The sequence below is a fragment of the Homo sapiens genome, chromosome 16 (assembly GCF_000001405.40).
Source record: "Homo sapiens chromosome 16, GRCh38.p14 Primary Assembly".
Taxonomy (NCBI): Eukaryota; Metazoa; Chordata; class Mammalia; order Primates; family Hominidae; genus Homo; species Homo sapiens.
Window position 1 is genome coordinate 21,857,792 of NC_000016.10, and position 24,460 is coordinate 21,882,251.

General features: G+C 43.0%; 1 pseudogene, besides 1 other annotated feature; it reads right to left on the minus strand.

Annotated features, from left to right (window-relative positions):
* Positions 6,540-7,224: an enhancer, noted in NCBI's record as "H3K27ac hESC enhancer chr16:21875652-21876336 (GRCh37/hg19 assembly coordinates)". NCBI's record gives its function as "activates a minimal SCP1, AML or CMV promoter by ChIP-STARR-seq in primed H9 embryonic stem cells {active_cell/tissue: H9 hESC(primed)}" and the evidence as "EXISTENCE:reporter gene assay evidence [ECO:0000049][PMID:30033119]".
* SMG1P4 (SMG1 pseudogene 4) overlaps positions 21,546-24,460 on the minus strand; it is a 36,690-nt pseudogene continuing 33,775 nt past the window's right edge.

A 24,460-nucleotide genomic window follows, 5' to 3' on the forward strand; every position in this document is an offset into this window, starting at 1 on the left:
TAGTGATTTCTCATTTTTATATTACTAATTATAACCCTATTTAATCACACAAGGCCTTGTCCGCGGCAGGTGCTCAATAAACACTTGTCGAATCAATGCATGTGGGCTCCGGAGCCACACTGTTTAGATTCTATTCTGCCTCCACCACTTATCAGCTGTGTGATCTGGGTAAGATAATTCACCTCTTTATGTCTGCACTTCCCTCTCCATAAACTATATATAATGAGAATCCTTAGCTCATTCGGTTGTGGTGAGGGGTGAATGATTTGGCACACAGGAGGGGCTTGTTAAACATTAGCTGTGATGATCTCCTTCCAAATCTTCATTTTCAGAGCCACAGATGAGGCCATAGTGCAACCAGGTGACCTTAGAGTGTAAGTACACATGATCGCCAGCTATGCTCTATCTCCACCATAGGTCCAAGACTGGGTAGTTCTGGCCTGGAGGTTTCTGCTGCATCTGCCTTCTCAGTGTTCACCTAAGGACTTTTGTATTTTCCTCCTCGCATCCCCACAGATGGGGTTCAGGCTGCCGGACACAGCTGGGTGATGCCAGGGCAGTGGTCACCTGTGCCAGCCCCGTGAGGTAGCTGGAGGATCATTGTTCCTTCCTTCTCGGGCTCTGGGCAGATGCCAGGGCTGGGGTGACCCATGCCCTCAAGTTTCTTGCTTTGGTGGGCCACATTTTCCCTTGGCAAAGAGGGTAAAGGTCACAGGATGCCGGAGAGCTGTGACTTCTCTGTGCCCTGGGCCCAAACTATGAAGACCTGACACACTATGCTAAAAGTCCAACGCTGGGTGCTCCCCAGAGCTTCTTGCCTCACCGCTTCTGCTGAGGGAGGAATGAATACTATGTCCTCCCAGAGCTTTGGGAGCTTGTAGCAAGCAGCCTCCCCAGCGCAAAATCTCTTGGAAACCTCTAACTGTGTCTGAAACATTAGTGCAAATGTTGCATCCTATTTCCCATATGTCCGCATGTTTTAGAAAAAAACCCTCAATTTCCTAAATATGCAAGAAAAATCGGTATTGTAGGACAATGTGACTTTTTAAAGAATGTTATTTAAAAATCTTCCCCACCTCCTTTTCTGCCCTCCAAGACTGCCAAATACTTGTTGAACATATATTATTAAATGCCTACTACATGCCAGCCATGATTCATGGTCTTGGGGACACAGCAGAGAACGAACTGACAGGACTCCTCTCTTATGTAACTCACATTCTTATATGATAATGATAAGGGTTAACATTAATTAAGCTGTCACTGCATGTTAGTCACGGTGCAGTCATTCCCACACATTATTACACTTAAACCTGCTAGCAAGCTTGCAAGGTAGTTAGTTGTTTTTCCTTTAAAAACTGAGTCTCGGAATGATGAAGCACTCTGTCCAATGTCACACAGCTAGTAAGTGTGGAGACCTTGCATCCAATCAATGCCCGTCTCATTCTAAAGGCCATGTTATGTGTTCTCCAGCCCATGGAGAATAATTTTAACACAGTCAATGAAATTTCTACACAACAATGTTCTTGTCTCAAGTCCAAGAATGCCTCCTACACCTCCTATAATACTGGCTTTCTGGTGAGTAAAGATGCCATTCTCATGTGTAATCAGGTGGCAAATGGAGATATGACCAAAGTAACCACCTGCCTACACTCATAACCCTGTACACACTCTTCCTGTGTCGATTCAATTCAAGTACCCCTTTTGATCACTTAGCAAATCTGACCTTTAAAAGGGTTAGGGTTTTTATATCCATGTAAGTTTCTGTATTGCTTTGGAAGTCTCTGGTTAAATTAATACTCTTTTAATAGTGACCTGTGATTCTGTTTTGATCAAGTGTTTTCAAACTTGACATCTTTGATGGGTTTCTCCAGTGTCAAAATCCTAAATCAAGTCTTTTTGGCTTAAAACTAACTTTGGGATTTTTTTCAGCTGCATCCCTTGGGGAGTCTAAAGAATGTATCTCTCATCTTGTAGAGGTATTAAGTGATTCGATTTATTTGGTAGATTAAATGGGCAGGCATTGTCAAATGTGGCGATACTGCATGGGAGGGCACTGTCAAGTGAGGTGACATTAGATCTCATCTCAGTTATATTTATGGGTATGTTGTTGATATGCGTGTTCCAAAAATTGCATACATTTATACAAATTTAATATGATTTGTAATTTTGATAGTTATGCTAAATATTTGCTAAAGTTATATTTGTATAAACATGTCACGAATGGCTGGGCACTGTCACTCATGCCTGTAATCCCAGCACTTTGGGAGACAAAGGCACGTGGATCACCTGAGGTCGGGAGTTCCAGACCAGCCTAATAGAGTGAAACCCTGTCTCCACTAAAAATACAAAAATTAGCCATGCCTGGTGGCACATGCCTGTAATCTCAGCTACTCGGGAGGCTGAGACAGGAGAACTGCTTGAACCCAGGATGCGGAGGTTGTAGTGAGCCGAGATCATGCCACTGCACTCCCGCCTGGGTGACAAAGGTAGAATCTATCCAAAAAAAAAAAAAAAAGTTATTATTTCTGAAGATTGTATGAAATTTATAAAAGTCTGCTGGCCCTGATATGATGCTGTCAGTCATGATTCTGATTACTGTCTTAAAATGCTGCACATAAGTAATTAAATTTCCTTGTGAACTGGGAAGTTTCATCAGACTTTTATCATAACTATTGTTTCCATCATCCACAGTTACTGTTTTGAATTCTTCTCTAAAAATATTTGTAATTGGCAATAGTCCAAATTTTCTTTTGTTTTCTTTCCTGTTTTTGAGACACAGTCTGGCTCTGTCGCCTAAGCTGGAGTGCAGTGGTGGGATCTCGGCTCACTGCAAACTCTGCCTCCCGGGTTCACGCCATTCTCCTGCCTCAGCCACCCAAGTAGCTGGGACTACAAGTGCTGCCACCACATCCAGCTAATTTTTTGTATTTTTAGTAGAGACAGGGTTTCACTGTGTTAGCCAGGATGGTCTCAATCTCCTGACCTCGTGATCTCCGCGCCTCGGCCTCCCAAAGTGCTGGGATTACAGGTGTGAGCCACCGTGCCCAGCCTAATTTTTGCATTTTTAGTAGAGAGGAGGTTTCACCATGTTGGCCAGGGTGGTCTCGATCTCCTGACCTTGTAATCCGCCTGCCTCAGCCTCCCAAAGTGCTGGGATTACAGGCGTGAGCCACTGCAACTGACTTTTTTTCTTTTTTTTTTTTTTTTTTTTGAGACAGAGACTCACTCTGTCACCCAGGCTGGAGTGCAGTGGCATGATTTTGGCTCACTGCAACCTCCACCTCCTGAGTTCAAACAATTATCCTGCCTCATCCTTCGGAGTACCTGGGATTACAGGTGCGTGCCACCGTGCCCGGCTCATTTTTGTATTCTTAGTAGAGACGGCATTTCACCATGTTGGCCAGGCTGGTCTCAAACTCCTGGCCTCAACTGATCCACTCTCATTGGCCTTCCAAGGTGCTGGGATTATAGGCGTGAGCCACCACAACTGGCTCAGTAAATACATTTTTTATTATCAAAAAAGAGTAGTGTATGGTTGGCGTATTCTGTGTAGAATGTATTTTATTGATGTCTCCTATTTTTATAATTTCTGAGTTAAGTACTTTTTAATTAATGCTTTTTAGTTTTGGGCAGATTCAGTTGACTAAAGCACCTCATTTCCCAGATACATGAAATAAAATATTTGGCTTCTTTTCCAATTTCACACTGATGTTATTTTGTGAAAATCAGTGCTTTAAGATAAATCGTTATACGTTAAGATAAACATGAGAAACTTGATCTAATATTTAATAGTTATTCAGTTCTACACTTTATTAACTTCTACACCAGCAGATTTAGACATTATGTAACCATCTCAAGAAGTTTCACTTGGATGTAATGCTTCACGCTTGTAATCCCAGCACTTTAGGAGGCTGAGGTGGGAGGACTGCTTAAGGCAAGGAGTCTGAGACCAGCCTGGGCAATACAGCAAGATCCCATCTCTATTTTAAAGAAAAGTTTCACTTTGGGAGGCCAAGGCGGGTAGATCACAAGGTCAAGAGATCGAGACCATCCTGGCTAACATAGTAAAACCCCATCTCTACTAAAAATATAAAAAATTAGCCGGGCGTGGCGGTGGGCGCCTGTAGTCCCAGCTACTCGGGAGGCTGAGGCAGAAGAATGGCGTGAACCCGGGAGGCAGAGCTTGCAGTGAGCTGAGATTGCGCCACTGCACTCCAGCCTGGGCGACAGAGCGACACTCCATCTCAAAAAAAAAAAAAAAAAAAAGTTTCGGCAAATTCCATCTAAGAATTCCACCAGAGTTCTGTTGTCTCCAATGTCATCTTCCACAGATTTCAAGTTGTGAAGCCCTGAACTGTTAATTTATCTTGAGAATGTATATTTAAGCTTAATTTAAGACTATATACCTAAAAATTGAGCATGTAATTTCTATAATTTGTTTATGTAAGTTTCTGTAAGTCATAAGTATGTGGTTTCCAAGTGTATAATTTATCTGAATGTAATAGGCATTAATATATTTTACATTACTGGGACCATAGTACAGAAATTTCTAAATGGTTTGTAAAATAACTTGTTATTTGTGTTGTTGTAAAAGCAGTTAATACAATGGAAAAACTCGTAATAAGAAGATACAGTTTAACATCAAAAAGTTTACCCAAGGTAATTATGAGTACTACCTGGCAAAACTTCACGGAAGCTGTGGTATCACTTTTATGATGGAAGAATGGTGTTTGCATTTTGTGTAAAAGTACTTGCGGCTGGGCGTGGTGGCTCATGTCCCAGTGCTTTGGGAGGCGAAGGCAGGTGGATCATCTGAGCCCAGGAGTTTGAGACCAGCCTAGGCAACGTGGCAAGAGCCTGTCTCTCCAAAACCTACAAAATTTAGCCAAGCTTGGTGGTGTGAGCCTGTAGTCCCAGCTACTTGGGAGACTCACGCTGGAGGATCTCTCGAGCCCAGGAGGCAGAAGATGAATAAATAAATGGAAGCAACTGAATGGGATGAGGTCTCTCTTGAAGGAGAGAGCAAAAGAGATTTAAATAGTAACAATTATAATAAGGCTGGGCGCTGTGGCTCACGCTTGTAATCCCAGAACTTTGGGAGGCCAAGGCAGGCGGATCGGTTGAGGTCAGGAGTTCAAGACCAGCATGGCCAACACGGTGAAACCCTGTCTCTATTAAAAATACAAAATTAGCCGGACATGGTAGTGCGTGCCTGTGGTCTCGGCTACTCAGGTGGCTGAGACAGGAGAATCGCTTGAACCTGGTAGGCACAGGTTGTAGTGAGCCGATAAATATAAAAAGTATTAGAGTACTAACAGAGGAAAGTTTCCACTGATCACCTTTTAGCTTTAAATAATGCAGAAGCATTTGCCCAGTTTACTTGTAATTAAAAATCATGCATCATTCACAATTTATATCTTTTTTGTTTGTACAAAAATGAACACAAGTTATTCTCTTTTATCTGTATTGTGATTGGTTTGGTGAGAGGGAATTAGGCCACTTGAGAGTTTGTGTGTGTTTACAATTTTCTGGCCAGGCACGGTGGCTCATGCCTGTAATCCCAGCACTTTGGGAGGCCAAGGCGGGCGGATCACTTGAGCTCAGGAGTTCGAGACCAAATTGGGCAACATGGTGAAACCCTATCTCTACGAAAAATACAAAAATTAGCTGAGTGCCGTGGCTTGCGCCTGTCCTCCCAGCTACTTGGGGGGCTGACGCAGTAGGATCGCTCAAGCCCAGGAGGTGGAGGTTGCAGTGAGCCAAGATCACGTCACTGCACTCCAGGAAGGGCAACAGAGCAAGACTCCTTCTAAAAAAAAAAAAAAAGAAAGAAAGAAAAGAAAATTAACTTTGGTATTTCAGGTTGTATTTAAATGGAGACTTAACATGAACTATGTTCATAACACTTGATCAAATTAAGTGTAGATCGTCTCTTTAATAAAGAGATCATCTGGAACTGCAATTTCTAACTCATACATCATTGCTACAAACCTTATTTGTTTACTGTTTCTCTTCCAGGGACCATCAGTCATCCTTTAAAATTCATTTCAAGCTCTGAAAAGATATTTTTTGTTACATGGGCAATTTACTTTTAGTACAGTAAAATGTTATGTGAATTTCTACAGTATGTTTGCCAAAATGAATTATATCTAGAATACGCTTAACAATATATTCTGGAGGCAGCTTTCATTTGAAATTAGGTTCACCTTCTGAGAGTATGAAAAAGTTAATGGGTTTTTGTGCCTGAAGATTTTGATGTTGCATTTGGCTACATTTAATCCACTTTCACCCATAAGTTTTAGCATCTAAAAAAATTAAATCACTGCTAATGCAATTAAAATGCATTATGAAATGCACTTCTGTCCAGGCTGGAGTGCAGTGGCACAATCTCGGCTCACTGCAAGCTCCGCCTCCCTGGTTCACACCATTCTCCTGCCTCAGCCTCCCTAGTAGCTGGGACTACATGTGCCCGCCACCACGCCCGGCTAATTTTTTTTTTTTTTTTTTTTTAATGAGGCGGAGTCTCGCTCTGTTGACCAGGCTGGAGTGCAATGGCATGATCCTGGCTCACTGCAACCTCTGCTTCCTGGGTTCAAGTGATTCGCCTGCCTTGCTGGGATGACAGACGTGCACCACAATGTCCGGCTAATTTTGTATTTTTAGTAGAGACATGGCTTCACCATACTGGCCAGGCTGGTCTTGAACTTCTGACCTCAGGTGATCCCACCTTGGCCTCCCAAAGTGCTGGGATTACAGGCATGAGCCACTGTGCCCAGCTTAAGATCTCTGTTTTAATGTTAATGCTGGTCAGTTGTGTCTGGATTCCAGAGGGAGGAAGGTAGAATGAGGCATGTTGACACCTCCCCTTCCCATCATGGCCTAAGCTGGTCTTTTCAGTTTACTTTGGAATGTCCTTGCTCAACAGGAAGGGTCCATTCAGTCGGATTGGGTGGCTTAGAATTTTATTTTTGGTTTACATCTCAACTATCACAGCAGCCGGGCGCGGTGGCTTCACAGCTGTAATCCCAGCACATTGGGAGGCTGAGGCAGGGGTATCACCTGAGGTCTGGAGTTCTAGACCAGCCTGACCAACATGGAGAAACCCCCCGTCTCTACTAAAAATACAAAATTACCCGGGCGTGGTGGTACATGCCTGTAATCCCAGCTACTCGGGAGGCTGAGGCAGGAGAATCGCTTGAACCTGGGAGGCGGAGGTTGTGGTGAGCTGAGATCGTGCCACTGCACTCCAGCCTGGGCAACAAGAGCGAAACTCTGTCTTAAATAAATAAATAAATAAATAAACAAACAAACAAACAAACAAACTATCACAGCATAAAGTAGGAATATTTCGTTACTGTCTAGTTAAACTGGTTAATGCAGAAAGGAAGTCTGGTAATTCCAGTTTTAAAGTAAAATTTTGGACATTGTAGGATTGATTATTTGGCATAGTTGTGATGTTTGTTCCTGCGTTATGGTTTTGTTGGCAGGGCAGCCTTTAAGGACCTGTATATTTTCTTCTAGACTCTATATATTCCCTGTGAGTATTAGTTGTATGGTCAAACTGGCAAATTTTACCATAGGTATAAATAATAGAGAATGTGGAAGAATAGTGAATAGTGTCAGAGATAGTTAAAAGTCCATACAATAGTAGAGAAGGTAGTAAGTAATAGTGGCTTGGACTAAATATTTGTTGAATAAATGTTTTAAAAAACAGGCTACCTACAATTTGTGTTGAAGATATGAATGAATGAAGTTTCCACACCTTTATGTGGAGACCTGATAAGTAAGCAACAATAAGGAAGGGTCCCCAGGTTGGGGAGAGCCCCAAGTTGAGAACAATAATGAACAATTATTGTATGAACAATTGTTAGAGACAGCTAATCACAAACAACCTGCGGGCACAATGACCTCATTCCACACGTAGCACCCTTCAGCAGGACCCTATAAAACTTTCCTCCAGCCCTTGCCTCTTTGCAGGTAGCCCCTTCTCTGCTGAGCTGCCCACTGCAACATATTTTCACAATTTCTCTAATAAATCTGCCCTTCTTTACCCACAACTATCTTGGTAAATGGCTTTACCACCTGCAAAACTGACCCTAGGTTGTTGCTACCCGATATGGTTTGGCTGCGTCCCCACCCAAATTTCATCTTGAATTGTAGTTCCCATAATCCCCATGTGTCGTGGGAGGGACCCGGTAGGAGGTAATCGAATCATGGGGGCAGGTTTTTCCCATACTGTTCTCGTGATAGTGAATACATCTCACTAAATCTGATGGTTTTATAAAGGGCAGTTTCCCTGCACGTGCTCTCTTGCCTGCTGCCATGGAAGACATACCTTTTTGCTCCTTCTTTGCCTTCCACCATGATTCTGAGGCCTCTCCAGCCTTGTGGAACTGTGAGTACATTAAACCTCTTTTTCTTTATAAATTACCCAGTTTCCAGTATTTCTTCATAGCAGTATGAAAAGTAACTAATACACTACCCGAGACATCTTAGGAGATTTGTAATAGCTGTAATGCCAGGTCCACCATATTTTTAGCATAAAGCAAATGTTTACGCGTGATATGACTGCACGGGCTTTCTTTCAGCTGGAGCCATAGCAACTCAAGTAGTAACCCTATCTTAGTCTGATTAAAAGTAAATATTAGTCTGGGCATGGTGGGACATGCCTGTAATCCCAGTACTTTGGGAGGCTGAGACAGAAGGATTGCTTGAGCCCAGGAGTTTGAGACCAGCCTGGGCAACATGGAAAAACACCATCTCTACAAAAAATACAAAAATTAGCTGAGCTGGTGGCACACACCTGTAGTCCCAGCACCTTGGGAGGGTGAGGCAGGAGGATCTCTTGAACCCGGGAGGTGGAAGCCGCAGTGGGCAATGATCATGTCAGAGGTGTGTGAACCAGAGCAACTCCATCTTAAATAGGAGCCGGGAAAAATGAGGCTGAAACTACTGGGCTGCATTCCCTGATGGTTAAGGCATTCTAAGTCACAGGATGACATAGAAGGTCAGCACAAAATACCAGTCATAAAGACCTTGCTGATAAAACAGGTTGCAGTGAAGGAGCTGGCCAAAACCCACCAAAACCAAAATAGAGACAAGACTGACCTCCCATCATCCTCCCTGCTACACTCCTACCAGCACCATGACAGTTTACAAATGCCACGGCAACATCAAGAAGTTACCCTATATGGTCTAAAAAGAGGAGGCATGAAAAATCCACTCCTTGTTTAGCATATCATCAACAAATAACCATAAAAATGGGCAACCAGCAGCCCTCACGGCTGCTCCGTCTATGGGGTAGCCATTCTTTTATTCCTTTACTTTCTCTCTTTTTTTTTTGAGATGGAGTCTCCCTCTGTCACCCAGGCTGGAGTGCAGTGGCGCGATCTCGGCTTACTGCAAGCTTCGCCTCCCGGGTTCATCCCATTCTCCTGCCTCAGCCTCCAGAGTAGGTGGGACTACAGGCACCCGCCACCACACTTGGCTAATTTTTTTGTATTTTTAGTAGAGATGAGGTTTCACCGTGTTAACCAGGATGGTCTTGATCTCCTGACCTCGTGATCCACCTGTCTCGGCCTCCCAAAGTGCTGGGATTACAGGAGTGAGCCACCGTGCCCCTCCTCCTTTACTTTCTTAATAAACTTGCTTTCACTTCACACTGTGGCATCACCCTGAATTCTTTCTTGCACAAGATCCAAGAACCCTCTCTTGGGGTCTAGATTGGGACCCCTTTCCTGTAACTATCATGCTACTGCACTCCAGCCTGGGCAACAGAGCAAGGCCCTGTCTCAAAAAAAAAAAAAAAAAAGGAACATGACTTAATACATTCATTTTGGAGGGTAAGTCTCTCAAAATAGGCCTTTCACTGGGGGAAAATGGTAAAAATACTCCCTGGTAATTCAAGAATTGGAGACTCCTGAGATGCTGCTCATATTAGCTGAGCACTTATCAATACTTCACTTTTTTCCATATATACTCAAGGAACAAGTGCTATTTAAAGTGTTTCACTCCACTGTGCTAGGTGCAAGACTATAAAGAGGTGTGAGGATCAACACTTTTATGAAAACCAGTGTCATTCTGGATATAGTTTCAGATGCTAGTGCAAAGGAAGCTCTTGGTATACGGAAAAAGTATTCAACAATAAATTAGGCATGGTTGCTTCCATTTTCTGCCTCACATACTTTTTTTTTCGTGGTTGAAGTGATATAATGTCTATGATATTTTAGATTGGCAGTTGCAAACTAGTGGTCCTCAGCGTGCTTTTTATGACACCTACAAGGTCTGAAGACTTTGATTTCATATTAAAAATCTGGGTTTCAGGCTGGGTGTGGTGTTGCATGCCTGTAATCCCAGCACTTTGGGAGGCTGAGGCAGGAGAATCGCTTGAACCAGGGAGGTGGAGGTTGCAGTGAGCCAAGATCGCGCCACTGCACTCAAGCTTAGGCAATAGAGCAAGACTCCATCTCAAAAAATGAATAAATAAATAAATAAAATCTGGGTTTCAGGCCAGGTGTGGTGGTGCACTCCTGCAATCCCAGCACTTTGGGAGGCTGAGATGGGCAGACAGCTTGACCTCAGGAATTCCAGACTAGCCTGGGCAACGTGGCGAAACCCCATGTCTACAAATAATACAAAAAAATTAGCTGGGTGTAGTGGAGTGTGCCTGTAATCCCAGCAACGTGGGAGGCTGAAGTGAGAGGATTGCTTGAGCCTGGGAGGTTGATGTTACAGTGAGCTGAGATCGCCCTCCTACACTCCAACCTGGGCAACAGAGCCAGACCTTGTCTTAAAAAAAAAAAAAAAAAAAAAAAAAAATTCTGGGTTTCTGGCATCTCAAAAAAAAAAAAAAAAAAAAAAAAAAGGAAAGGTCAGGGCACATGGCTGCTACAGTCCTCTATTAAGCAATGTGCCACAGCAGGGGTCCCTGACCCCTGGGCCATGGACATGTACTGGTCTGTGGCCTGTTAGGAACTGGGCCACAGAGCAGGAGGTGAATGGTGGGTAACAACTGAAGCTTCGTCTGTATTTCTGGCTGCTCCCCATTGCTTGCATTGCTGCCTGAGCTCTGCCTCCTGTCAGATCAGCAGCATCATTAGATTCTTACAGGAGCATGAACCCTGTTGTGAATTGCACACACGAGGGATCCAGGTTGCATATTCCTTATGAGAATCTAATTCCTGATGATTTGTGGTGGAACAGTTTCATCCCAAGACCATTACCATCCTGCGCCCCATCCCTTGCCGCCTGTGGAAAAATTGTCTTCCACAAAGCCGGTCCCTGGTGCCAAAAATGTTGGGGACTGCTGTGCTTTAGAATCTGCCATGAATCTGCAGCCTCTATTATATAGCTCCCTATAGACTTTGCTTCCTACCGTCTTACGTTCTGCCTTATAGGCATTTGACTTTGCAACCCTTGTTTTTGTTAGTATGCTACGCTGGTGACATTGACCAAATTGACCACACATTAATTATAAGCTTAGTTGGTGATGACCTCAACGGAATAACGTGACATAAGTATTGTGACAATACTTCTTGCATGTATCTGCAGGTGGAATTGTAAACCTGGTGGTCCGAGATGGTCTAATTCCATCTTCCTATGTATCTCCTTATATTAATAGTGGTAACATTTGTGGTGGTGATTCAGCATTTCAATGCCTCTTCTCATGGCAACAACAAACGTTTTCCTTCTGAATCAACATTAACCTAGATGTTACTGCGGATCAAAATTAGACTCTACATTTTCAACCACAGAAATACCGGGCAGTAAAAATTTTTCTTAATATTGATTGCCTACATAGGTTGTGTAATTAGCATATGTTTACAGTTCTATGATTTCTGCGTGGCTGCTACAGAGCTGGAGGGGGTAAAGCAACAGTATTTTCTCAGTTGTGCGAGCAGCATTACATTATAATAAATAGGTAATATTAAACTGGGCTGATGAGAGTTGCAAAAGACTACTTTAATGTTCATATGGAACCAAAAAAGAGCCCGCATTGCCAAGACAATCCTAAGCCCAATGAACAAAGCTGGAGGCATCATGCTACCTGACTTCAAACTATACTACAAGGCTACAGTAACCAAAACAGCCTGGTACTGGTACCAAAACAGACATATAGACCAATGGAACAGAACAGAGCCCTCAGAAATAATACCACACATCTACAACCATCTGATCTTTGACAAACCTGACAAAAACAAGAAATGCGGAAAGGATTCCCTACTTAATAAATAGTGCTGGGAAAACTGGCTAGCCCTATGTAGAAAGCTGAAACTGGATCCCTTCCTTACACCTTATACAAAAATTAATTCAAGATGGATTAAAGACTTAAATGTTAGACCTAAAGCCGTAAAAACCCTAGAAGAAAACCTAGGCAATACCATTCAGGACATAGGGATGGGCAAGGACTTCATGTCTAAAACACCAAAAGCAATGGCAACAGAAGCCAAAACTGACAAATGGGATCTAATTAAACTAAAGAGCTTCTGCACAGCAAAAGAAACTAGGATCAGTGTGAACAGGCAACCTAGAGAATGGGAGAAAATTTTTGCCATCTACTTATCTGACAAAAGGCTAATATCCAGAATCTACAAAGAACACCAACAAATTTACAAGAAAAAAAACAAACCCCATCAAAAAGTGGGCAAAGCATATGAACAGACACTTCTCAAAAGAAGACATTTATGCAGCCAACAGACACATGAAAAAATGCTCATCATCACTGGCCATCAGAGAAATGCAAATCAAAACCGCAATGAGATATCATCTCACACCAGTTAGAATGGCGATCATTAAAAAGTCAGGAAACAACAGGTGCTGGAGAGGATGTGGAGAAATAGGAACACTTTTACACTGTTGGTGGGACTGTAAACTGGTTCAACCATTGTGGAAGACAGTGTGGCGATTCCTCAGGGATCTAGAACTAGAAATACCATTTGACCCAGCCATCCCATTACTGGATACATACCCAAAGGATTATAAATCATGCTGCTATAAAGACACATGCACACGTATGTTTATCGCGGCAATATTCACGATAGTGAAGACTTGGAACCAACACAAATGTCCATCAATGATAGACTGGATTAAGAAAATGTGGCACAGATACACCATGGAGTACTATGCAGCCATAAAAAAGGATGAGTTCATGTCCTTTGTAGAGACATGGATGAAGCTGGAAACGATCACTCTCAGCAAACTATCACAAGGACAAAAAACCAAACACCGCATGTTCTCACTCACAGATGGGAATTGAACAATGAGAACACTTGGACACAGGAAGGGGAACATCACACACTGGGGCCTCTTGTGTGGTGGGGGAGGGGGAAGGGATAGCAGTAGGAGATACACCTAATGTAAATGACGAGTTAATGGGTGCAGTACACCAACATGGCACATGTATACATATGTAACAAACCTGCACATTGTGTACATGTACCCTATAACTTAAAGTATAATTTAAAAAAATAAGTAAATAAATAAATAAAAAAAGAAACAATTGCTGGCTTTGCAATTCTCTTTCCTCCAAAATCGCCAAGGCCTCAATTTACTCATTGCTGAAAAAGGACGACTCTGTATATTTTTAAATGAAGAGTGTTGTTTTTACCTAAATCAATCTGGCCTGGTATATGACAACATAAAAAAACTCAAGGATAGAGTCCAAAAACTTGCCAACCAAGCAAATAATTATGCTGAACCCCCTTGGGCACTCTCTTAATTGGATGTCCTGGGTCCTCCCAATTCTTAGTCCTTTAATACCTGTTTTTCTCCTTCTCTTATTCGGACCGTGTGTCTTCTGTTTAGTTTCTCAATTCATACAAAACCATATTCAGGCCATCACCAATAATTCTATATGACAAATGCTCCTTCTAACAACCCCACAGTATCAGCCCTTACCCCAAAATCTTTCTTCAGTTGAATCTCTCCCACTGTAGGTTCCCATGCCGCCCCTAATCCCACTCGAAGCAGCCCTGAGAAACATCGCCCATTATCTCTCCATATCACCCCCAAAAATTTTCGCCACCCCAACACTTTACCACTATTTTGTTTTATTTTTCTTATTAACATAAGAAGACAGGAATGTCAGGCCTCTGAGTCCAAGCTAAGCCATCATATCCCAGTGACCTGCACGTATACATCCAGATGGCCTGAAGCAACTGAAGATCCACAGAAGTGAAAACAGCCTTAACTGAAGACATTCCACCATTGTCATTTGTTTCTGCCCCACCCTAACTGATCAATGTACTTTGTAATCTGCCCCACTCTTAAGAAGGTTCTTTATCATCTCCCCCACCCTTAAGAAGTTTCTTTGTAATTCTCCTCACCTTTGACAATGTACTTTATGAGATCCACCTCCTGCCCCCAAAACACTGCTCTTAACTCCACCGCCTATCCCCAAATCTATAAGAACCAGTGATAATCACACCACCCTTTGTTGACTCCTTTTTCGGACTCAGCCCGCCTGCACCCAGGTGAAATAAACAGCCATGTTGCTCACACAAAGCATGTTTGGTGGTCTCTTCACACAGACACGTGAGACAGGAGTTCGAGACCAGCCTGGCCAATCTGGTGAAACTCTATGTCTCTACTAAAAATACAAAAATTAGCTGGGCATGGTGGCGGGCACCTGTAATCCCAGCTACTCGGGAAGCTGAGGCACAAAAATTGCTTGAACCCAGGAGGCAGAGTTTGCAGTGAGCCAAGATCACACTGTCAGGCCTCTGAGCCCAAGCCAAGCCATTGCATCCCCTGTGACTTGCACGTATACATCCAGATGGCCTGAAGTAACTGAAGATCCACACAAGAAGTAAAAATAGCCTTAACTGATGACATTCCACCATTGTGATTTGTTTCTGCCCCACCCTAACTCTTCAATGTACTTTGTAATCTCCCCCACCCTTAAGAAGGTACTTTGTAATCTCCCCAACCCTTAAGAAGGTTCTTTGTAATTCTCCCCACCCTTGAGAATGTACTTTGTGAGATCCACCCCTGCCTGCAAAACATGGCTCTTCACCCCCTATCCCAAAACCTGTAAGAACTAATGATAATCCACCACCCTTTGCTGACTCTCTTTTCGGACTCAGCCCGCCTGCACCCAGGTGAAATAAACAGCCATGTTGCTCACACAAAGCCTGTTTGGTGGTCTCTTCACACGGACGCGCATGAAACACACGACTGCACTTCAGGCTGGGCGACAGAGCTAGATTCCATCTCAAAAAAAATAAAATAAAAAGGAGTCACCTCCCCCGAGAGGCCTCTGGACCACCCCATCTGAGCAGGCCACTCTTCCTTCTCTATCTTACCATCTTGTTTCTGTCCCAGTAGTTAGGGCTACCTCCAGTAATCCTATTTGTCCCTTTACTGTTTAGTGCGTCTCGCTTGACTAGAAGCTCCATGAAAGCAAGAGACCCTACCTGCCTCCTTCGCCACTAGACCCCCAGGGCCTGGTATGTGGTGATCGCTCAGGGCCCATTTTCTTCCTTTCCTCCTCCTCCAAGGGTGGGGAAAGAGCATCAGAAGGTCTAGGTGGCCCCAGGCCCAAACAATGCTCCTTTAAAAGGAAACTAGATTGTTACAAAGGTCAGAGGCTGAAAAGTTATTTCCGCCTTTTATCCCTCTAAATTCTTCACTTCCTGAAAAAACAAACAAACAAGCCACTGAGGGCCCTTGGACTAAATCCAGGCCTGAGTTGCTGGGCAGAGGTCAGTCTTGTCCAGACATGGGAAAAAAATAACTCGAGTCAGACAGGTGGGTCACCACAGAACTAATCCAGCCTGCAAATGGCCTGTGCAATCTTCAGCTCTGTCCAGACCTGCCTCCCTCTGGGGATGCCTTTAAAGGTGATGAATGATCTGGATGAATGGGCTTAGAAGATAAGAGGGAAAAACAAATATCACAGGTCAAATCGTTATTTGTCTTCAAGTTTAACACCGTCTACTGGACTAAAAGATGTCCAAAGAATAGTTGTTCAACTATGTAAATTCCTTTTTTTTTTTTTTTGAGACAGAGTCTCGCTCTGTTGCCCAGGCTGCAGTGCAATGGTATGATCTTGGCTCACTGCAAGCAACCTCTGATTTTAGTATTATTAGTAGAGACAGGGTTTCACCATGTTGACCAGGCTGGTCTCGAACTCCTGACCTCAGGTGATCCACCTGCCTCGGCATCCCAGAGTGCTGGGATTACAGGCGTGAGCCACCGTGCCCGGCCAACTACATAAATTCCTAACAACGTATCTCCAGAAAGTATAGGCACAACAGCACATGCAGTCATTCCTGTAATTAAGTGCTCCGGGAGGCCAAGGCAAGAAGATCCCTTGAGCCCAGGAGTTTGAGACCAGCCTGGACAACATAGCAAGACTGTGTCTCTACAAAATATACAAAAATTGGGCTGGGGATGGTGGCTCATGCCTGTAGGCCCAGCACTTTGGGAGACCAAGGCAGGAAGATCGATTGAACTCAGGAGCTCGGGACCAGCCTGGACAACATAACGAGACCCAGTCTCTACTAAAACTCAAGAAAATTAGCCAGACGTGGTTGCATGTGCCTGTAGTCCCAGCACTTTGGGAGGCCAAGGTGGGTGGATCACCTGAGGTCAGGAGGTCGAGACCAGCCTGGCCAACATGGTGAAGTCTCATCCCTACTAAAAATACAAAAATTAGCCAGGCACGGTGGCACACACCTGTAGTCCCAGCTACTTGGGAGGCTGAGGCAGGAGAATGGATTGAACCCGGGAGGCAGAGGTTGCAGTGAGCCGAGATGGCACCATTGCACTCCAGCCTGGGCAACAGAACAAGACTCCATCAAAAAAAAAAAAAAAAAGAAAGAAGAGAAGAAAATTAGCCAGGTGTGGTTGCATGCACCTGTAGTCCCAGCACTTTGGGAGGCCAAGGCAGGAGGATCAATCAAGGCTAGGAGATTGAGACTGCAGAAGGAAACCCTGTCTCTAAAAACAAGGTCCAGCTAAAATCAGGGTCCAGCTCCACCACAAGCGCAGCTCCAGGGGCTGTTGAGTTTTGCCTCTACCATTCCAAGTAGTCTCTGCTCCAGACCAAGTCCCACCATCTGGCAGTCATGTCAGTCCAACCACAGTCATATCAGGGCGCTTCCAGTCATTGAGTGCCCCTTGAGGAGGCTGGAGGAGAGGCCAATGACATTTGCACTTGAGACTCCAGAGTCTAGATTTATAACCACTATGTTACGGCTGCCAGTGTGGCTGCAAGGACACTTCTTTCATTCATTCATTTACAATAGATGTAGCATCTGCTGTGTGCCAGATGCCATTCTAGGTTCTAGGGAAACAAGGCAGAGCCCCTGTTTTCCAAGGCATCCACATTCTAGGAAAGACTGCTACCAGCCTGGCGTGGTGGCTCATGCCTGTAATCCCAGTACTTTGGGAGGCCGAGGTGGGCGGATCACTTGATGTCAGGAGTTCAAGACCAGCCAACATAGTGAAACCCCGTTTCTACTAAAAGTACAAAAATCAGCTGGGCATGGTGGCACGTGCCTGTAGTCCCAGCTACTCAGGAAGCTAAGGCAGGAGAATCGCTTGAACCTGGGAGGCAGAGGTTCTGGTGAGCCGAGATCATGCTACTGCACTCCAGCCTGGGCAACAGAGTGAGACTCCATCAAAAAATAATAATAATAATAAAATAAAGACTGCTACTAAACAATAAAATAACCAAACCAGATAGATGACTTCAGGTGGTGGTAAGAGCTTTGAAAGAATAAGCAAGGTAACTAACTGGTCAGAGGAAGGGAGATGGGTGCATTCCCTCAGATAGACCGCCCCAGAGGTCTGCCTCTCTGACATGACATCTGAGCAGAGACCCAACAGGAAAAGGAAGAGGCTGCTCTATGGCCGGGTACGGTGGCTCACACCTGTAATCCCAGCACTTTGGGAGGCCCAGGCGGGCGGATCACGAGGTCAGGAGATCGAGACCATCCTGGCTAAGACGGTGAAACCGTCTCTACTAAAAATACAAAAAAATTAGCCGGGCGTGGTGGCGGATGCCTGTAGTCCCAGCTACTCGGAAGGCTGAGGCAGGAGAATGGCATGAACCTGGGAGACGGAGCTTGCAGTGAGCCGAGATCGCGCCACTGCACTTCAGCCTGGGCGACAGAGTGAGACTCCATCTCAAAGAAAAAAAAAAAAAAGAACCAAGAGGTGTCCAGGCGAAGAGAACAGCAGATGCAAAGGCCCTGTGGCAGAAACAATCTTGGTATGCTGGAGGAATAGGAAGGCAGCCAGTGCAGCTGGAGCAGGATAGGTTAAGGGAGGATCAAGGTGATGAGGGCCTGGAAAGAGGGGCTGGGGTCGAATCACCAGATCCTGTTGGTTGCAATGGAAGAGCCTGGAGTTTATTCTCAGAGCAGTGAGAAGCCACTGGAAAGTTGTTTTTTTGTTTTTCTGTTTTTGAGACAGAGTCTAGCTCTGTGACCCAGGCAGACTGCAGTGGTGCAATCTTGGCTCACTGTAACCTCTGCCTCCCAGGTTCAAGCGATTCTCCTGCCTCAGGCTCCCCAGTAGCTGGGATTACAGGCACATGCCACCACACCCATCTAATTTTTCTTTTTCTTTTTTTTTTTTTTTTTTGAGACAGAGTCTCTGTCACCCAGGCTGGAGTGCAGTGGCGCAATCTCAGCTCACTGCAACCTCCACCTCCCTGGTTCAAGCGATTCTCCTGCCTCAGCCTCCCGAGTAGCTGGGACTACAGGTGCATGCCACCATACCTGGGTTAATTTTTTGTGTTTTTAGTAGAGACAAGATTTCACCACGTTAGCCAGGATGGTCTCGATTTCCTGACCTCGTGATCTGCCCACCACGGCCTCCCAAAGTGCTGGGATTACAGTCGTGAGCCACCGTGCCTGGCCAGCCACCGGAAAGTTTTATGTAAGCAGGGGAGTGATCTGTTTTATCATTTAGAAGGATACACACCTCTTCTTCTTTTTTTAGAGACAGGGTCTAGTTCTGTCACCCAGGCTGGAGCCCAGTGGCACAATCATAGCTTACTGTAACCTCAAACTCCTGGGCTCAAGTGATCCTCCTGCCTCAGCATCCCAAAGTGCTGGATTACAGGCATGAGTCACCATGCCTGGTCACACTTCTCATTCTTTAAACCAGACCTCATTTGTCCATCTCCCCCATCCCCCGCCCCACCCCACGGACTGTCCTATAATGCCCATACAACAGGTCACTGTTTAGAAAGTGCTACAAAGTTACAAACACAGTCCCTTCTGAGCCTCCCACCAATGTTGGTGGGTACAAGGTCAAAAAAAAAAATCTCATCTATCTAAGGGGCATAGGAGACTTTTTAGTTAGAGGGCCCAATTATAGTCCTCCTGAAAAGATGCCAAAAGTCCCCTTCAACACTTAGCAAAGATTCAAGAAAGATGAATCTCACATTCTTTGTATGGGAAATGAGGAACTTGACATCTTCAATATAATGGATTCCACTAAAATAAGATGACGATCAATAGGAACCAACTAAAAAAATACTTGACTAGCTGTTATTGAAAGGCTGAAATTCAGCTGACATAAGCAGTATTAATATTGAGCTAGAAAATAATTCGCATTGAATTCAGCCCAACTTTTGTTTTCTGATTTGGGTCTCTTCTAAATTTTTTTTTTCTTCTGGACATTGAGAACAATCCAATTTGAAGGCCTCAATGCCCAAATCTACACTCTTGTTTTATTCTATATCCTTGGTTTCTTCTTTTTTTTTGAGATGGAGTCTCATTCTGTCGCCCAGGCTGGAGTGCAGTGGCGTGATCTTGGCTCAATGCAAGATCCGCCTCCCGGGTTCATGCCATTCTCCTGCTGCAGCCTCCCGAGTAATTGGGACTACAGATGCCCGCCCCCACGCCCGGCTAATTTTTTTGTATTTTTAGTAGAGACGGGGTTTCTCCGTGTTATCCAGGATGGTCTCGATCTCCTGACCTCGTGATCCACCTGCCTCAGCATCTCAAAGTGCTGGGATTACAGGCGTTAGCCACCGTGCCCGGCCCACACCTAGGTGATTTTTAAAGTTCTTCTAGTAGAGACAGGGTCTCACTATGTCGGGTCGCCGTGTTTGATGTCAGTTTTCCCTGCCAGAATCTACAATCTCCTTGATCACCATTATATCCCAACGAAGAGCTCAGTACCTGGTACAAAGCACATTTGATCAATACTTGCTGAATAAAGAAATAAAAATGAAGAGGCACTCCAGCCTGGGCAACAGAGTGAGATGGTCTCAAAAAAACAAAAACAAAAACAAAAAACGACTGGAAAGGAGATGAGGGTACTTGTGAAGCCATATTATATGACACGCTCTGTGCTAGGACTTTTATATACCTTGTCTCATCTCTTCATCTCATATAATCCTTACAAGTACCTCAAAAGTGGGGAAATCCCCATATAACTGAAGACGAAGGCAGTTCAGAAGTTCATTGATTTGCCCTAAGGTTCCTCAATTTGCAAACGTCAGGCCAATGATCCAACCCCAGGTATGTTTGGCAGTGAAGGACCAGTTGAGTCACAGCTGCAAGTAACCACCCTGCAGTGGTCCCTATCTTGGCCGTTAGCTTACATTGACATTTAACACTCAAATTTACTCAGTAACACCAGCTATCATGTTTTCCACTAAAACTCCACAGCATTCTGGCAACTTTTCTATTTTAGAGCAATAAAGTAAATTGTTAGCATCCCTTTGACATATAAATATTTCTACAAATAGTAATTCTCTAGCCATTCATTTGGAGTATTTAAAACTCAACATTCATAGCACATTTTATGTGACAAAGAACTTATGTTCAGAACACAAAAATAAGTCGTACGTCTTCATTAAAAACAGGTGAAGAATTTGAACAAACATTTGCAAACTAAAATACAAATGAAATACACTCAACATCATTAAACAAGAAAATAAAATTATGAGATAATCACTAATAATCACTACATATGCACCACAGTGATTAAAATTTTTTTAAGTTAAGCCACGTGACCCAACAAGGTGCATTCACTCAAGAGAAACGCAAATATATGTCCACTCAAAGACTTGCACATGAATGTTGAGAGCAGGTTTATACTGAATAGCGCAATGTGAAAAAACCCCAAAATCTAGCAAAGGATGAAGGGAGAAATAAACTGTGGTAAATACATACAATAGAACACTACTCAATAATAAAAAGGATTATATTCCTGATACATGCAATATGGGTGAACCGTAAAAATATCATGCTGAGCAAGAGAAGCCAAACACAAGAGAACATGTTGTTATGATTTCACGTACATGAAACTTTAGTAAAGACAAGTCTAATCCATAGTGACAGAAAGCAAATCAGTAACTGCTGACAGGGGCAAATGAGGAGATGATCCCAAGGGAACCTTCTGGGGTAAGACGCTGTTCTCTATCTCGATCGTATTGGTGGTCACACAAGTGAAGACATGTTAGAACTCATCAAACCATACACTTAGAATGTGTAATATAAACCTCAATAAAGCAAAATTTAAAAAAAAAAACCACCTTTAATTTTCTCTTACAAAAAAAAAAAAGGAAAACCACTTAACTTTAATTTTCTCCAACAACTGATTCTGGTACACAGTATACCTTAATGCCTGCATCCACGGCCTCACGTCATGCTGTTTACATGAACGTAAAGCTTCGCCGAAGAGTGGAATAAGACAGTCCTGCCAGAGAAAAACCAAAATTACTCAACGTAAAACAGGCTGTTGATATGTTTGCAGATATATAGCAAGTCTTAAGTCCAAGACTGCAATATAGTTTGGCTACTTCAGATTGATTGCAGTAGTTTTATCTATTACACTATACCCTTACATCATTTATCTTCTACTCACAAGAGGCAAGCACACAGTAAGAGAAAGCCTTTTGTTTTGAAGGGAAATCTTCTTCAGAATATTAAGTCTAATTTATCAATATACTTAATAAAGCACATTACAAAAAAAAAAGTCACAGCACATTTACTATAAAGCAGACTGCAGAAAAACATTACAACTAATGCTTTATTATGAAGTTCTCGAAGATCACCATTCATTCAGAAGCCCCCATCTCTGGTCGAACTTTACCCCATTTAGGATGAAGAGGAGAGATCTTTGTTTGCAGCAAATCTAAAATTTACGTGATCTGCCTAAAGGAACTGTCTTTACATACACCACCTCCCACCCCAAAAATAGAAGAAAAAACTGAGCAATTTGCCATCCTTGCGATTATCTCAGGTTCTTCCATCTGCCCCATGTACTTCCCAAATGAAAGACTGCCTGAAAACAGCATGTTAGATTTCTGGATTTACCAGCTTGCCCAACTACAAATCCTATTCCAAAAAACTCAAAAAATAAGGTCTTTGTTCTACAGTAATGACCATTAATAGTCATAAGAGTGTGCTTGTAAAAATATACAGACCTCTGTTGAAAGTCTGTTAGAAACTGTGGTCTCCAAAGCAGACGAGCAATACAGCTGCAAGGTACTTAGAACTGGCAAAGACTGTGAAACTGTTAAAGTAGAAAGTCTCAGAGGTCCAATAGCGATGCGGGATGTTTGCTTCAAGTACTTTACCACATTTCTGAAACAAAATATTTACTGTCAATTAATAAAAATTACAATTCATAACCACTCAAAGAATAAAGCAATTGATAAGATGCTATCAAATTGACATCCAAAGTTAGGGGGCAGTAAGAGGAGCAGCCTGCTCTATAATAAAATGGTATCAGCAAGTCAAGACATTTGCTTTTGGGGATTTTTACATTTTATTTCATTTCAACCTCAGTTTTTGTTGGCAAGCAGCATTCATATATCATATGACTTCTACAACTAAAATGAAGCTATTAGCACTAGTATTTAGTAATCTAGTAACTCTCCTTCCAGCCCTCTTCACCCCATGTATGTTTATCACATGATATACACAATGTACATTTACCTCCGTAAGAGTAAACTTACTCAGTTATAGACTGCCACTTCTGATCTTGTTCTATCGGGTTTAAAGCAGTTGCCAAACAAACAGAACTTCTTAACAATGGAACTTCAATGGATTTCTGAGGTTCCCTTGGATCTGGACTTCACATGTTACGAAGCAGTTTTTTCATGTCTACAGAAGTTAAATGAAATGTCATTAAGTTAATGTGCTTTTATTATAAATTTTGATTTATGTTTGGCATTATTAAAAACTAATCACCAATGAACAGCTCCTTTAATATTTCAGGCAGTTAAACACTATAAGCATTACTGAGAGCTATATAAAAATCATACTTCATACAAAATTACTGTACCTCAGACCCCTAAAAAGCAGTTGCCTTCAAAGGCTCAAAAATCAGTAAGTCGAGGTCAGGCGTGGTGGCTCACGCCTGTAATCCCGGCACTTTGGGAGGCCAAGGTGGGTGGATCACGAAGTCAGGAGTTCAAGACCAGCCTGGCCACGATGATGAAACCCCGTCTCTACTAAAAATACAAAAAATTAGCTTGGCACGGTGGCAGACACCTGTAATCCCAGCTACTCAGGAGGCTGAGGCAGGAGAATCGCTTGAACTCAGAGGGCGGAGGTTGCAGTGAGCCGAAATCGCGCCACTGCACTCCAGCCTGGGCAACAGAGTGAGACTCTGTCTCAACAAAAAAGAAAATCGGTAAGTCAATCTACTATTTAAGGGGACAAATCTAGACCTGCATTAGCAAATCTTGCTCAATCCAGAATACTCATTAAACTTTTTAATAACATCTTATCAAGTGTTCCATTTGTGATAAAGAACTTAATGAGCCACATCAAGATGAAAATCAAGAAAAATATTTAGCTGAAACACTACTTTGTCCTTTATCAAACAAAATGGCTAGATAAATCTCAAAGTATTAAGGTGGTCATTTTTTTTATTTGACTTAATTTTAAGTGCTTTTCATTTCCCAAATCAAACATAAATAGGGCAGCCCTAAATTTGTTGCTTCACATGGGATTCTGCCCCCACAAAAATGTAAAATAACTTCCAGATTTTCCAGTAAAATATACTAAGCCAAACATTTTGAGCAACTTGTCCACTAAAATAACTTTAAAACTATTTTCTCAAGTACCTACCTATTTTTTCTTTTGATCCTCCAGCAAGTAGATTGATATTTTCTCCTGGTAACAATTCTAATTGCTCGGTACATTTGACAAATTTTCCAGACTCAAAGCTGCTTAATGATCTGTAATTAAAATATTGGTTAGCTTGTATTCCTATGCAGCCTGTGGAACCATTAAAAAAAACAAACAAACAAAAACAGAACAAATCCTAGGAAGACAGCAAAGTACACAGCACTTTTCTGACAAAATTCCTTCCACGAGGATGCCATTATTTTGGTTTTTATGTTGCAGATGTGACTACCACTTAATTAGTACTCAAATTGGAGTGGCAAACCAGAAAGTCACAGCTACAGACTTTCAGTGGAGCTGACTCGCCCGTGTCTCCTTCCTGTTTTCATGTGTTGCAGCCTGTTCTCTTCAGA